Source organism: Homo sapiens, chromosome 5, assembly GCF_000001405.40.
Source record: "Homo sapiens chromosome 5, GRCh38.p14 Primary Assembly".
NCBI lineage: Eukaryota > Metazoa > Chordata > Mammalia > Primates > Hominidae > Homo > Homo sapiens.
The window spans coordinates 32,057,114-32,073,691 of NC_000005.10; the positions used below are offsets into that span (position 1 = coordinate 32,057,114).

The following is a 16,578-nucleotide window of genomic DNA, read 5'->3' on the forward strand; positions in this document are numbered from 1 at the left end:
TTTTAGTAAAAAAAAGACTGTTTCTGGGCTGCCATTGCTCAGTAATATTTTAGCAAGTTTTTGTTATCATTAAAGCCATTTTCCATACACCATGCTGATTCTCTGTGCTTGGGGAACTTGTCTTTCTACAAATATAGGAGTGACTTCTCAAATGTTGTATGTGTTCATGCCTCATTGCCAGTGGGTTTAAGTTTTTAAACAATGACTATGAGGAACGCCTTTGAACTAGATTTCTGCAGTTTGATTTCGAAACATAGGACATCTGTTGTCAAACTTGGCAATGGCTAAAAAAATAAGATTTTCATGCTTCCCATAGTTATTTTAATTGAAGATTGAAATACAGAATTACTGCAAAAGAATATGTGTTGTCATTAATTGTCCCATTTTGTGACATTCCTGGGAGCTAAGCTAAACAATAAAAGTTATTTTATGTGGTAGTAAATCAGGGACCATATGGTATCCCAAAATAAGTCTGACTGAGCAGTTAAATTCCAGGAAATTAAAGGCTAATGTTAATGTAATTCTCACATTTGATCACTAGGGGATGAAATCCTAGATGTAAATGGAATACCAATAAAGGGCTTGACATTTCAAGAAGCCATTCATACCTTTAAGGTAACAACATTCTTATTGATCTCCTTTATCCTATTTTCCTTTCTTTATTTCCTTCTGGCTTGGGTTTGGTGAGTTGTTTTTTTTTTTTAACCCTTTGATATAAGGACATTCCAAATGTTTCAGCCCACCTTTCCTCACTGTTTTCTCAGCAAATCCGGAGTGGATTATTTGTTTTAACGGTACGCACAAAGTTGGTGAGCCCCAGCCTCACACCCTGCTCGACACCCACACACATGAGCAGATCCGCCTCCCCGAACTTCAATACCAGTGGGGGAGCCTCAGCGGGAGGTTCCGATGAAGGCAGTTCTTCATCCCTGGGTCGGAAGACCCCTGGGCCCAAGGACAGGATCGTCATGGAAGTAACACTCAACAAAGGTGATAGCAGCTATTCCTTACCTTTGTCTCATTTCTTGAATAACATTTTGGAATCTGTTGTTAGCTTAATTCTTCCTTGTTGTTCTATGAATTATTCCTTTGGTACAATCTTCTATCAACAACACGTGGTCTCTGCATGGGACAGTGAGGTCAGGTAGAGAGATGTTAGTCACTTTAGTCAAAGTGAAGGGAAGTTACCAGTAGCATGGAGCTCTCTAAGCTCTCCCCATGAATCACTGTGGGTCAGAGGCTTGTGTTTAAAAAAAAAAAAAAAAAAATCACTGGCCAGGCACAGTGGCTCATGTCTGTAATCCTAGCACTTTGGGAAGCCGAGGCAGGTAGATCACCTGAGGTCAGGAGTTTGAGACCAGCCTCCCCAACATGGCGAAACCCCGTTTCTACTAAAAATAAAAAAAAAAAATTAGCTGGGCGTGGTGGCAAGCGCCTGTAATCCCAGCTACTCGGGAGGCTGAGGCAAGACAATCGCTCGAACCCGGGAGGCAGAGGTTGCAGTGAGCCGAGATCGTGCCACTGCACTCTAGCCTGGGCAACAAGAGCAAAACTCCGTCTCAAAAAAAAAAAAAAAAAAATTCACCGGTGAGCTTAAGTCTGGGGCTAATATAAAATTTTAAAGAACAAAAGATTATAGTTAAGTGTACAGTTAACACTAGTAACTAGAATTCATGCGTGATCACCAAATCTTACTGCTTTTCATCCCTGTTTCTTTTTCCTCCCCACCTACTCTAGAAACATGATGGAAGATTAAACAACCAAGAGATTATGTGTTAAAAAGAAAAGCAAAAGAAAGCTTGAGTTTGTGTACCTAGAATAAAAACGTTACTTATAGCCTGCCTATTTCTAAAAACAGATGTGAGGAGGTTAGTTAGACTAAGCAGAGAGTTGACCGTCGGATAATTCAGTCCGTAACTAGCTCCCAGGTTAGCCATGGGCTCATTCTATTAACAGCAGTGGCAAGTGTTGACAAGGAAAAGCTGGATTTACATTCTGAGTCTGGACCAGAAATAAATGGTTATTGGTCTGAATAGATATTAATTCTGTTTCAAATCAGTTACACATTTTTTCTAGTGATTGTGTAATTTTTGTTTTTATTTTCTTTGAATGGTGCCTCTCACAGAGCCAAGAGTTGGATTAGGCATTGGTGCCTGCTGCTTGGCTCTGGAAAACAGTCCTCCTGGCATCTACATTCACAGCCTTGCTCCAGGATCAGTGGCCAAGATGGAGAGCAACCTGAGGTTTGTTGTTTGCCTGATAGTGTAAGGTTCTGGAGTGTTCATAAATATGAAATATACACGTGTGATATTTGTTCTATTACTTCCCTTTGAGGGATGTTGAAGCTTTGAATTCTTTCCAAGAACGTAGCCAAGACTACAATTAATAGCATCTCCAAAAATGTAAATGTTAATATAAATGAAATTTGGTTGAATTTGAGAACTCTAGATCTTGGCTTCCCTGCTTATTTTGTTCTATTTGGTCTCAGAAGTCCAGTTTCAGAAACTTGACAAGATACAACTCTATACAGATATCTATGATTAGCTCAATATTTTCTTTCATTTTATATTCACATATATAAAATTCATATGAAATACTGGAACTGCTGAAATGGTTCAGAATCACTTGATGCCAAACAGTCCTGAAATTGTGCCCTTGAATAGGAGGCATTTCTTATTAAGTATTCTCTCAAACTTTTCCTGTCATTTTCATTCCTTGTTGAATGGCCATGTCTAGGTGTCTACTTACTGAAGTCACTGAGTGTCTGATTTCTTAATCCAGATAGTTGAGTTGTAACATGGGCGTTCTGTTTACACAAGAAATATCTAGGTGTTCTATTATATAGAAATTGCAGTGAGTCAGTGCCCACCTAAACGTCACAAGAATGTACGTGTATTGCACAAAGCACCCTGTGCTAACAGTTTCATCTTTCTGCCCTGTAAACTTCCAAGTCCTTTAGTGGTTAAGGGATTGTCAAAATGGCATTCATTGAGGTTGCCATTTTGGGGCCCTGTTAATAGCTTATATTATGTTTTTAGTTAATCATTAGAGTAAATTTCCATATGAAAAAAAATTTAGCAAATCATCCAAAGTACATTAAAGAAAATATACTTTTAGAACCCAAGGAAAAAAATCCTTTAATGACATCCCAAGATGATGTTTCTTTCTTGAATGATTCCATATGTCTGGAGCCTGCCAAATGAACATTCTTCAAATCCCATATAAAGAGTCTTTGTTCTCTCCTACTGACTTCTCTCCCTGTAATTTCCAGTCAAAATGGGCAACTTGTCCCCAATTTCTCATTTGTTCAAATTTGAAACGTTTTTACAAATTGTTGGGTAACCTTTGAGCCTCAGCTATTTCCTCCTTAAGTTATATTATAATAATCATTTCAAGATGGTAGGAAGAGAGAACTGCTGGTGGTCGAGGGGTTCTGTCATGTGATGGTTGACAGTCAGACGGACCCGAGTTAGTTCAACAGTGTGTGACATCTGGGTGACCCCTCTGAGCCTGTGTTCCTATCTGCACAATGGGAATAATTTTACTTACTCAAAGCTTTGTTATACAGCATGCTTTGTACAGTGCCTGGCATATAGTATATGCTCAAAATATGGTAGGTTTCATCATTGTCCTTATTATCAATTTTATTTGACTTTGCTGTTTCTGAAAATGCCAGTAAATATGCATAATGACCTTTGCCCACTTAAAATCGAATGTGTTTTTATGAATGTGTTGCATTTTTACATGTATGCCAACGGGAAAAGATATGAGCTTCTTTAAAGTATTCAGAAAAGATTTCATATTATAAACCTCTCCTAGCAAGAAGGCTATTTTAGCTTTAAGAAGCTGGCTGCTAACACAGAGTGTGGATTCTGTTGCCCTCCCTAGCCGCGGGGATCAAATCCTGGAAGTGAACTCCGTCAACGTCCGCCATGCTGCTTTAAGCAAAGTCCACGCCATCTTGAGTAAATGCCCTCCAGGACCCGTTCGCCTTGTCATCGGCCGGCACCCTAATCCAAAGGTGAGGTGGTCCACCCTCTTCTGAACGTGGGAAGATGATACACCTTCCTAGGATATCGTATACTCTTTGGTGAGATGGTTTTCCCAGCTGGGGATAGGCAGGCAACCTACGGGTGGTTCATGTGGGAAATGAATCTCTAATCTGGACTTTGTCTTCACAGTCTTAGAAAATCTTACTAGAACATTTTGACAATGTTATCTGGTAAATTTGAAACTTGTCTGGTGGGAGGTAAGAATGCTGTGTTCTGAGTACTGGCTTTTTGAGCTCTGGTGAGATACTTAACCTCTTTGGGTTTTTGCAACAACAGAATCTGCAAGCCTTGGACTGGACGATCTCTATGACCCTGTCAGTTTCAAGATAAGAAGGCTTTTCTTACCACATCTTTTGTTGGGCCATATGTTGGGAATTCTCTCATCTTTAAGTTTAATGTTGAATGATTAATTTATTTTTAAAACAGTTTCAGTGAATTTTAAACTTTGTTCAATTAAGAAATGAGGGCCAGGCTTGATGACTCACACTGGTAATCCTAGCACTTTGGGAGGCCGAAGCAGGAGGATCACTTGAGCTCAGAAGTTTGAAACCAGCCTGGGCAACATAGTGAGACTTCATCTTTATTTTTTTTAAATAAGAAATAAAAAGAAATGAGAAAGTGTCAAGATAAGTATAAAAATAAATTGTTCATAATAGTTGGAAAGAAAACTATTTAGAATTTAACTTAAACTTGGGTAATATACTTAATTAATTTAAATTGTTTCTGTGTTTCCATAGAATTTCTAGAGTAGAAAGTTTTTCAGTTTACTTTAAAAATATTTTTTTAAATAGAGATGGGGTCTTGCTGTGTTGCCCAGGCTATTCTCAAACTCCTGGGCTCAAGCAATCAATCCACTTCGGGCTGGGATTAAAGGTGTGAGCCACCATGCCCCACGTTAGATACTTTTAAAGGACAAATAAATGTCTTCACATTTGTGGAGGAATGTTTCCTTCTTAATGTTCATTTAACTGTTGAGTCAGAAAAATACCTGTTTATCTTATCAAATGATTATCTTGAAATTCAAATAAATGAAAATAAGATGAAATCTGGCTTTGCAGACCAAATGCTTATTTGCAAATGTTACTTTGTAGATTTTGCTTCCATCAAAGTTGGGGAAAAAATAAAGCCCAGCATTTCAAATAAACTATAATGGAAAAGTTATTTGTTAAGTTTATGCAAAATTATGAAGGATACTATTTTTCTGATAGATCAAGTCCTCAAGACTAAATTTTTTTTTTTTTTTTTTGAGACAGGGTCTCCCTCTGTCACCCAGGCTGGAGTGCAATGGCACAATCATGGCTCACTGCAACCTCGACTTCCCGGGTTCCAGCGATCCTCCCACCTCAGCCTCCAGAGTAGCTGGGACCATGGGTGCGTGCCAATACACCTGGCTAATTTTTACATTTTTGGTAGAGATGGGGTTTCACCATGTTGCCCAGGCTGGTCTCGAACTCCTGAGCTCAAGGCATCCACACACCTTGGCCTCCCAAAGTGCTGGAATTATAGGCACGAGCCACCGTGCCCGGCCAAGACTAAATTTTTAAATTCATGCCAGGATCCTTTTCATTAACTACTCACACAATTGTTCTGTAATCTACCTAAGCAGCATAAATATGTATTGAAATTCTCCTGACCATGACATTTAACGTGCATTCACATTTTCCAATACTGGTTTTGCTTGTTCCTCTAACGACACATTCTGAAAGTGGGAGTTCTTTCTTTGGTTTATCTAATACAGATGGCTCCACGGGAGACCAGAGGAACCACATGGGGCCTTGAGCCAACGGACATAGTATGTCACTGCAGCTCCTTACATTTTATCATTGTAAAGATACCCATATAGTCTTCTGTTGAGAATGAAATATTATTATTATTATTATTATTATTATTATTATTTGAGACGGAGTCTAGCTCTATAGCCCGGGCTGGGGTGCAGTTTCGTGATCTCGGCTCACTGCAACCTCTGCCTCCTGGGTTCAAGTGATTCTCCCGCCTCAGCCTTCTGAGTAGGTGGGATTACAGGCATGCGCCACCATGCCCAGCTAATTTTTGCATTTTTAGTAGAGACGGGGTTTCACCATGTTGGCCAGGCTGGTCTCAAACTCCTGACCTCAAGTGATCCTCCCACTGGATGATGGGATTATAGATGTGAGCCACCACGCCCGGTCTGAGAATGATTTATTAAATGACTCTTTCTTACTTACAAGTTTTACTTGGAAGGAAAGAGAGAAGATCCTTCAGGTCTAATGTTAGCTGCTTAGCCTGGGTACCACCAGCCCATGTGAACCTGGTATTGAACAGGAGGCAGAGGCACCAAGGAGGCCCTGGGGGTGAATTGGGATGGGTGTGGAGGTTGTGAAGCAGGCAGGCAGGCTGCCAGGCATCAACAGACGGACTATCCTTCCCTGTCTCCCTCCAGCCAGGGCGATTCAGATCATCTATTCTCATCCTATATCAAATTCATTACCTAAACATTTATTGAGCTTCTACTGGGTGCCAGGCAGTGCCAACATACCAGGGATACACAATTAATTAGAATGTATCTCAAGAAACTTGCAGCCTACTCTGAACCTGAAGTTCACGGGACCTTTACCAGGACATTACGAACTACACAAATGTGGGAATAGATTTGCAATTGTGGACGGAATCAATAGCTTCTATCAAATTCTCAGTCATTCATGACCCCAAGAATGTTAAGCATTTTGTTAGAGTGTGAGGATGTTACTGTTGTTAGACTGATGAAAGACAAGACCCAATTTAAAGAGTGGCTCCTCCTCTGTCTAAGCCAACCTTGACCTGAGCAGAGTACTTCTGTAATTAAGGCCTAAGAGCCCACTAATTTTTTTCTCAGCATCAGCGTCACACTCTTGGACCCATACGGAAGTTGCAGATAATCATGGTCCCTACATTGTTGGACTTGGCTGTTATTTGGTTATATCTCTTCTATACTTGTACAGTTGCCTTTAACTTTTTGAAGCTAACCATAGGACACTTCAGCAAGCTCAACTCAACCCAATTTTTTTTTGTTTGTTTTTGGACGCACAGAGGAAAAGAAGGAACCAACTCAATTCACTTTTTTTTTTTTCTCTTTTTTGAGACAAAGTCTCTCTCAGTTGCCCAGGCTGGAGTGCAGTGGTGCAGTCTCAGCTCACAGCAACCTCTGCCTCCCAGGTTCAAGTGATTCTCCTGCCTCAGCCTCCCGAGTAGCTGGGATTATAGGCGGGCGCTGCCACGCTCAACTAATCTTTTGTATTTTTAGTAGAGATGGGGTTTCACCATGTTGGCTAGGCTGGTCTCGAACTCCTAACCTCAAGTGATCCACCTGCCTTGGCCTCCCAAAGTGCTGGGATTACTAGCATGAGCCACCACGCCCGGCCTCAATCCACTTTTAACACTATTTTTTATTCTTTTGAGCGCTTGTTGTAAAAGTCTTTTTAAATTAGCTTACCTCTAATGTTGTGGTTAAGTTGTATTTAAGAAAATTTAGCTTTTCCTTTCAGCAACTCAAAATGTTCACTAAGGGCGGGTGCGGTCGCTCACATCTGTAGTCCTAGCACTTTGGGAGGCCAAGGTGGGTGGATCACTTGAGGTCAGGAGTTTGAGACCAGCCTGGCCAACATAGCAAAACCACGTCTCTACTAAAAATACAAAAATTAGCCGGGTGTGCTGGCGGCTGCCTGTAATCCCAGGTACTCAGGAGGCTGTGGCACGAGAATCACTTGAACCCAGGAGATGGAGGTTGCAGTGAGCCAGGATCGTGCCACTGCACACCAGCCTGGGTGACAGAGCAAGACTTTGTCTCAAAAAAGTAAAGAAATAAAATCAAAGTGTTCATTAAGAATATTACCTCTTGGCCGGGTGCAGTGGCTCATGCCTGTAATCCTAGCACTTTAGGAGGCCGAGGTGGGCAGATCACTTGAGGTCAGGAGTTCGAGACCAGCCTGGCCAACATGGCAAAACCCTGTATCTACCAATAATACAAAAATTAGCCAGTGTAGTGGTGCATACCTGTAATCCTAGCTACTCCAGTGCTGAGGAAGGAGAAATCACTTGTACCTGCGAGGTGGAGGTTGCAGTGAGCCAAGATTGTGCCACTGCACTCCAGCCTGGGCCACACAGCGAGACTTTGTCTCAAAAAACAAACAAAAAAAATACTTCTTACCCATGCCTGTCATATGGGCATACCTTGGTATTCCTTGTAGTGTTGCTTAATTACATCCTAAATGTTCCCAGGCTACTGTGCTTGATGGACTGGTACACCACTTTAAGAGTAAGAAGTCTATGCCAAGAGACCTTGTGGGTCCCTCTATGTGCCATATCCGAGATTTCTTGGTGGCATCAATTTAGACACTCAGTGATGTTCATTTGTGGTCCTTGTCCTCCCCAGGATAAATTAGTGCTATCAAGCTATGGCTCTATGTCTTGATCTGGGGATGTGATGTCAACAACAGTGCTGGGACAAAATTGCCGTTAGACTAATGCAAAGGCAACTCTGCTTTTCTTCAGATTGTGTTCCCTATATGCATCCTCAGAAAGGTCTTGCATCCAGAGTTTTTTGAATAAATAATATAAAACCAGGCCGGGCTCTGTGGCTCACGCCTGTAATCCCAGCACTTTGGGAGGCCAAGGCGGGTGGATCGCCTGCGATCAGGAGTTCTAGACCAGTCTGGCCAACATGGGTAAAACCCTGTCTCTACTAAAAATATAAAAATTAGCTGGGCGTGGTGGCAGGCGCCTGTAATCCCAGCTACTCGGGGCCGAGGCAGGAGAATCGCTTGAACCTGGGAGGCGGAGGTTGCAGTGAGCCGAGATCGCACCATCACACTCCAGCCTGGGGGACAAAAGCAAGACTTGGTCTAAATCAATCAATCAATCAATCAATCAATCCAAGTACCAGCTGGGCGCAGTAGCTCACATGTGTAATCCGAGCACTTTGCAAGGCCAAGGCAGGTGGATCATTTGAGGTCAGGAATTCGAGACCACCCAGACCAACATGGTGAAACCCCATCTCTACTAAAAATACAAAAAAAATTGTCAGGTGTGGTGGTACATGCCTATAATCCCAGCTACTCGGGAGGCTGAGGCAGGAGAATTGCTTGAACCTGGGAGGTAGAGGTTGCAGTAAGCTAAGATCACGCCACTGCACTCCAGCCTGGGCAACAGAGCGAGACTCTATCTCAAGTCAATCAATCAGTCACTCAATCCAATCAAACCAACCAAGTCCTGCTTCCACCTTTTTCTGTTTTTTCCTCCTTGTCACCTCCCATTTTTCTCCTTTCTATTCTGTGGTTCTGACATCTTCACTTAAAATCTGTTCTCTTTTGTTTCACTGCTGGCTCTCTTTGCCTGAAGGTTGCATCTAAAGCAGTTCTCAGCTCCTTCCTCCAGAATCTCCCGTTGGAGTCTACCACCCACATCACCTCCTTTCACCTCGGGAAGCAGTCCAGTAACCTCTGGCTGCCCTAATTCATCCGTCAGCAATGTTACAGAAAACTGAGTTTTCAGTGGTTTGCAGTCATTGGCTTCAAGGCATGTCTGACTTCAAAATAACAGCATAACATGGGTCATGATTTGTTCAGAGGTCTAGTTCATCTCAGCTCCAAAACTCCTGCCTATTTTGCCAATACAATCAAACATCCAAATGGCATTTCAGCGCAAAGCATCATATCTGGTGGCCGCCATGCCATTGACCATACAGGTTCATCCATGTTTCTAGCCACAATAAAATGGTCGTCTGTGATAGTGTTGGAGCTATGTCCGGCATTTGGTTAAATGCCAGTGTTTGTTTGACTGGATTTCATGTTTCTTCCTAGGTAAACGTGGTGTTCTTAGTTGTAACCTCATGCTGTATTTTTCTTTTGGTTAAGATTCCATTTTATGTTTAATGTATTTTTGTACCACTTAGCCCAGCATTTCATGCCAATGGTACATTTTGATACTGAATGTATGTGCTTGCTTAGTTTTCTTGTTATTCCAAGAGAAATACCACAAGGATTTCTTTTCTTCTGTTTCTCATAATGTCTGGAGCGGTTGCTGCCCAGTTGGGTTACTTAAGCCTTCCAGGTCTAGTCAGGCTGAGATTTGGACTTGCTGGGATAGCAGCTTCTAACTTATGTTAAGTGGAAGAAAGTAATAGAAGTCCATTTTTCTCCTAGTCAAAAAAAACAATTGCAAATGTTGAAAGTCTAGTATTAAGAAAAACAGCAACCACTCTTTAAGCTGATATTTTCCCTGACTCATTTATATAAAATTATTCTCTACTATGTGGAGGGGGGTGTGTGTGTAAGTATATATGCCTGAGTGCATGTATGTGTACATGTTTTATTTCCTGTGAAGCCTACCGTAAAGCATTACATAAAGGCCACAATGTCATCATAATTTGCCTGTTATGATAAAATATAATGCTGAATTCTATATAGAAATATTTATTAAGACAAATTGCCATGCTTATCCAAACATTGCTTATGCCAAATATTATTTTAGTACATAAAATTACCATTCTAAGTTTTAAATACTCCTACCTTTAAAAAAGAAACTCCACATTTTCTTACTATTTTAATCAATATATTTCAGTATATATCAGGCTTTTTAAAAAAATCTTCCCATGAATAATGACAGTTATGGATAACAACAGAAAAACATCCATGAATCTGCCATGATACTAATAAATATAGAAGGAATAGAAAACTTATAGAAGCACTGTTTTGAAAGCTTCATAGTCATACTTGATTTAAGCAATAATAGTCAATGATGCCAAAACCATGGGGTACAAATATATTGGAGAGCGGGATATTTACATAGTCTCAAACTGTTTCTTCACAGATTACTCATTAATGACTGAAAAAAATTCCAGTGGAGAAATCTGGCAAATTCCATCCCTAATCAAGAGATCAAAGTTATCACCGATTATAAGACACATTGACCCTTAGTGCCTCTGAATGCACTGAGAAGGAAATCATTCTTGTACTTTTTCTGCCAAAAAAAAAAATGCGTAATCTGAATCTAAGCATGAGGAAACTATCAGACAGATCCTAATTGAAGGTTTGGATTGGCCTGGTTTCTTCCAAGATATCAGTGCCATGAAAGACCAAGGAAGATTCGGGAGCTGTTTCAGATTAAAGGAGACTAAAGACATACAACAACTAGATCCTGGATTGCCAAAAACAATTTTCGTAATAAAACATCACTATGCAAAGAAGTTGATCCATGGCAGCCTGCTACAGGTCCACAGCAAGATGTGCTTGCACCAAAATGTAAACATTGTGTCACCATGCACACTATTACATAGTTCAGCTGACATTTTTTCCTTAGCATGATGATTTTGATGAAGCCGTATGCTAATTTGCATTGTGGAGTTAAGTTCTTATCTCATCACAGGCTGGCATTAAACTTTCTGTGAGCTAGTCCCAGACTACAGACACACTTTGAGTAGTACTTGCAAAGGACACTATTAGAAAAGTACTGTCAGTATGCAGTATTTAGTCAAACTGGAATATGAAATCTATGTTACACAGTCATCAATGTTGCATTTCCTGAATTTGACAATAGTATCATGGTTATTTAAAAGAATGTCTTTGTTTCTAAGAGACCCATGCTGAAATATTTATGGGTAAGGGGTCACGATGTCTGCAACTTACTCACAAATGGTTTAGCAAAAAGCTGTAATTCTGTGTGCGTGTGTGTGTATGTGTCTGTGTAGGGAGGACATGCATGTAAATGTGGCAAAATGTTAAAAATTAGTGATTCTAGGTGAAAAGTATACTACTCTTGCACTACTCTTACATGTTTTATGTAGGTTTAAAATTGCTTAAAAAGAATTAGGCCGGACGCGGTGGCTCACACCTGTAATCCCAGCACTTTGGGGGGCCGAGGTGGGTGGACCACAAGGTCAGGAGTTCAAGACCAGCCTGACCAATATACTGAAACCCTGTCTCTACTAAAAATACAAAAATTAGCCAGGCGTGGTGGTGCGCGCCTATAGTCCCAGCTACTTGGGAGGCTGAGGCAGGAGAATCACTTGAACCTGGGAGGCGGAGGTTGCAGCGAGCCAAGATCAAGACGCTGCACTCCAGCTTGGGTAACAGAGAGACTCTGTCTCAAAAAAAAAAAAAAAAAAAAATTGAAGTGAGTTTTCCGGAGAGGCAGATATCAGCTGTGTTGTTGGTAATCATAGCACTGAATGCTTTGCTTAATGAACTTGGGCACCAGTTGAAAAGTCTTGTTATGTGTGTGTTGCTGGACTTCTTACATGCTCTGAGTTACAGCTTCGGAGGATGGTCATAATCCTTGGCCCTGTGGTTTGCCTCTTTATCTGCACTTGACTCTGACTCTGGTCCTAGGTACTTTCATTGGGAGAAATAAATAAATAAAACCATCTAATCTTTGCTTTCTGCTGAAAATCAGGTTTCCGAGCAGGAAATGGATGAAGTCATAGCACGCAGCACTTATCAGGAGAGCAAAGAGGCCAATTCCTCTCCTGGCTTAGGTACTGTAATCTCACATTTTCATTCAACATTCAGAAGAGTTTCTCATTAAGTTCACCCACAGGCACTCCCCAGTGCAGTATTATTGGATTCTTGGTAATTATCAGGTTTGGCAAAAGTAGCTGTCAAAGACAGTCTATGCTTTCTCTTGGCTGTTAGTTTTGATTTCTGCAGTTATTTAATGTGCTTCATTAAAGATCTAATCATGCATGCTTCTTATAGTACTTACAAATAATTTGCAAAGGTAAGTTAGAAGTGTTGCATGTATATATGCTTGATTCATTCAAAATGCTAAAGATGAAAGGGAAACGATACCCAGAATTTCAGTAGTTTGGTAGATGCAGAGTATTATCTACCAAAAAGCCTGAGATTTCTTTACATGAATTAAAAAGTTTCCATTCAAAAGGGTAATAGAGGTAGCAAAAATCATGATTTCGCTCAAGTGGAAAACTTCAGGCAGAGAAGGCTTGAGATAGTAGGAATTTCATATGAATTTAAAATATGAAACATATCAAGTCTTAAAAATAAAGTTTCCTTTAGCATGGAAGCCTAAAGGGACTCTTCACACATTTCTGAGCTTGAGATTATACTGACGTTCAGATTGCTACCTGGGAGGAAAAGGAACTGAGACATAAGTTATTAGTTGTCAGAGGAAAAGGAAAGCATAGGGTTTTTTGGCAATCATGAAATACCCTGATTATTTACATTCATAATTAATACATTTGAAGTGGACATAGCCATCATAGGCTTTCTATTCAACCAGTTCATCATCCCGACCTGCCTGAAAGCTGTGCTCTCATAATCCCAGCATTTCCACTTGATCATTTATAAAGAGTTTATTAAGCTGTAATCCTCATGCCCAAAGTCCCTTCTGCTTCATGGCATATAGTTTAAATCCTGAGCCTTTTCACCCTACAGTTAAAAACTAAAATAGATATTCAGTCATCTTCTCAGTTCTTTCATGAGTTTCTTGGGTGATGTTCATTTGTTCATTCATAATTCAATCCATTCAGCAATTATCACCGAACACTTAGTAGATATGAAGTACAATGTCCAGCTCCATGGAGCCGGGCGCCATGGCTCACGCCTATAATCCCGGCACTTTGGGAGGCCAAGGCGGGCAGATCACCTGAAGTCTGGAGTTCGAGACCAGCCTGACCAACATGGAGAAACCCCATCTCTGCTAAAAATACGAAAGTAGCCGGATGTGGTGGCGCATGCCTGTAATCCCAGCTACCCGGGAGGCTGAGACAGGAGAGGTTTCAGTGAGCCGAGATCATGCCATTGCACTCCAGCCTGGGCAACAAGAGTCCAACTCCGTCTGAAAATAAATATCCAGCTCCGTGGGGTCAGATCAGTCAACATTTCTGCTCTGTAGATTGAAGAAGGGAGACAAGACACATCCACTCATACATTATATGATGTACATGAAAGTTGATGTGTGGGTAGGATAAAACACTTTGGAAATTCAGAAGAAATTACTTCTAACTGGGATCATCATGCAGGTAGTAGCATCTGAGTTAGGGCTTGAAGCATCATGGCAGATGGGATGGGGATGAGGATCAGGTACGCAGGTAGACTGCATGCACGTCTAACCCTGTGCATGCAGCCCGTCATCAAGCAAAGGGAGTTTTGTTTACTGTGTTTGCCGCCTCCTTTTCTAGTTAAGGATGTGAGCCTATTTGTGACTTGAGCTTTATTGTTTTGACAATATGGTGAATTTTCCCTCCAACAGGTACCCCCTTGAAGAGTCCCTCTCTTGCAAAAAAGGTGAGTCAAGGTGAACTGCTACCTGCCTCCCTCAGCTGGACCACAAACTAATTCCTGGAGCCCACAAGTCAAGCCGGAGGGCCCAGTCCCTGTTTCTGCCCATGAGTCATTTTTGCCACTTTATACAGGAAATCGCAACAATGCTCATTTGAGAATAGATGCAAAAATGTGTGTTTCTTTTGCTAAACACTTATCCAGGAAAAGAACAGAGCAACAAAATAAAAGAACTGAACTACAGTTTGCAAAATAAGTTTTCAAACTGCTCCATAATAAAGCAGCGTGAGTCAGGACTTGGGGCTTTAAGGAGGCCACGCAATCTTCCTCAGCTAGGCTCTTGCTGAGTCTCAGTGCGTCAGGGTGCAGGATTCAAACTCCCCTGGTTTTTGTTCACCATTTGGCTAGACTGGTTGGCTTGAATCACATTTGTCTTTCCCATCGCATCCCCCCAGTGTTTTTCCTGGGATGGCTGATGTGTTGCTGCTGTGGCTTTTCCGATCATTGCCAAAAATTTAGCCAAAAACAAAAAGTCTCTAAAAACATTGTCTGGCAGCAGTCACCTTTTTATTTATTAGTTGTCAATTTAGCCGTTCTGAGGTACATGGAGGTTGGTGTTTACTATCACAGCTATTTCAAGTGACCGTTGATTAGAACGAAGTGTTCTTGGAAAGATAGGACGTAATAACCCTTGAAAGTCTGCTTCTGCTGTGTTTTCTTAGTTATCGGATGTTTTCTTCTTCAACAGGACTCCCTTATTTCTGAATCTGAACTCTCCCAGTACTTTGCCCACGATGTCCCTGGCCCCTTGTCAGACTTCATGGTGGCCGGTTCTGAGGACGAGGATCACCCGGGAAGTGGCTGCAGCACGTCGGAGGAGGGCAGCCTGCCTCCCAGCACCTCCAGTAAGCAGGGGTGCCCCAGAGGGCCTGGGCTCTGCATTCCAGTCAGCAGTGACTGGTTTCCACCTCTGTGCTGGCGGCTACAATGGTTTAGCTACCCTGGCGCTGTAATACGAGAAAAGAGCTGGAGACCAGGCCGGGCGCGGTGGCTCACGCCTGTAATCCTAGCACTTGGGGAGGCCGAGGCGGGGGGATCACTTGAGGTTAGGAGTTCAAGACCAGCCTGGCTAACATGGTGAAACCCCATCTCTACTAAAAATACAAAAATTAGCCAGGCGTGGTGGCACGCGCCTGTAATCCCAGCTACTTGGGAGGCTGAGTGGGGAGAATTGCTTGAACCTGGGAGACAGAGGTTGCAGTGAGCTGAGATCGCACCATTAGACAATGCTGTACCCTGAGAGTTTACTCTTGGAAAATGCAGCCACTGTTAGTGACTGGCCACTCAGTTACTCAGTAAATGGGCTGGATACACATTCTATAGTCAGGGGTGGATGGTGGCTAAACCAGACCTCCTTTCAATGCCCTTTACATAATGTAGTCTTGAATTTTATGGCATCAAATCAGGATGGGCAACCTGATGCCCTTACATTTTAGGGAATCCAGCCAGATTCCAGGTCCCTTCCCTCACCAGGCCCTAGCTTCATTCTTTGTAGAAGGCTGTAAATTAAAGATTAAGAACTCATAAGAGACATATTATCAAAAGGTTTTTTTTTTAATCTCATTGATATATCAATTTGAGATAATATGAGATGATAATCTGATATGATCCATACCGATTTCTCAGACTTCTTTCTGCTGGTGAGGTTTCCTCTTAATTTCTAACATCTGAAGAAGAAAATCCCCTTGTTTTAGGAGAGGCAGGCGACGACCACTCTGACTCATTCGGAGCTATCAATGAGTTTGCTCTGTTCTTATAGAAACATTTCAAGGTGCAAACGTGTAATTTTTCACTGCATTTAACAAGATATAAAAATCGTTGCAGATTCAGGTTGGCATTGTTCTAGAGTATCTTTAAGACATAGGACAGTTCATGCTGCAAAAGCACTCACGTGCCTGTCAATCAAGCCTCCCTTTCTGCAGATGAAGGAAGGACCTCAAGGGGCCAAGAAGGCAGCCCAGGTGTGTGGGACATGTCATCAGTCCCCAGGCATCCTTCTATGGAGGAATTCTCAGCAGCATTTAGGTTAAACCCTAACAATGTGTTAGATAATCATGGAGGTGGAAGTATTAAGTTTCTGTCTTCCAACAGCACACGTTTGAGTTAATCCAGAGGTTGGGGTTTAAGAAAAGGGCGGGGGGGGTAGGTCAGTAGGGAAAAGAGAAAGATAGCCCGCCTATCTACTCCATATAGCCTCCAGGAAGCCATGTTGCCTAGGC

The 16,578-nt window shown here is 41.7% G+C and overlaps 1 protein-coding gene across 8 annotated transcripts in view; it reads left to right on the forward strand.

Annotated features, from left to right (window-relative positions):
- PDZD2 (PDZ domain containing 2) overlaps nt 1-16,578 on the forward strand; it is a 471,802-nt gene that overhangs the window by 417,983 nt on the left and 37,241 nt on the right. For all 8 annotated transcript variants that reach the window (XM_005248269.5, NM_178140.4, XM_011513992.3 and 5 more), the window contains 7 exons: nt 542-615; nt 765-990; nt 2,126-2,243; nt 3,889-4,021; nt 12,456-12,537; nt 14,271-14,305; nt 15,048-15,204. In XM_005248269.5, coding sequence (XP_005248326.1) covers nt 542-615; nt 765-990; nt 2,126-2,243; nt 3,889-4,021; nt 12,456-12,537; nt 14,271-14,305; nt 15,048-15,204 — 825 coding nt within the window. The remainder of the gene's footprint in view (nt 1-541; nt 616-764; nt 991-2,125; nt 2,244-3,888; nt 4,022-12,455; nt 12,538-14,270; nt 14,306-15,047; nt 15,205-16,578) is intronic.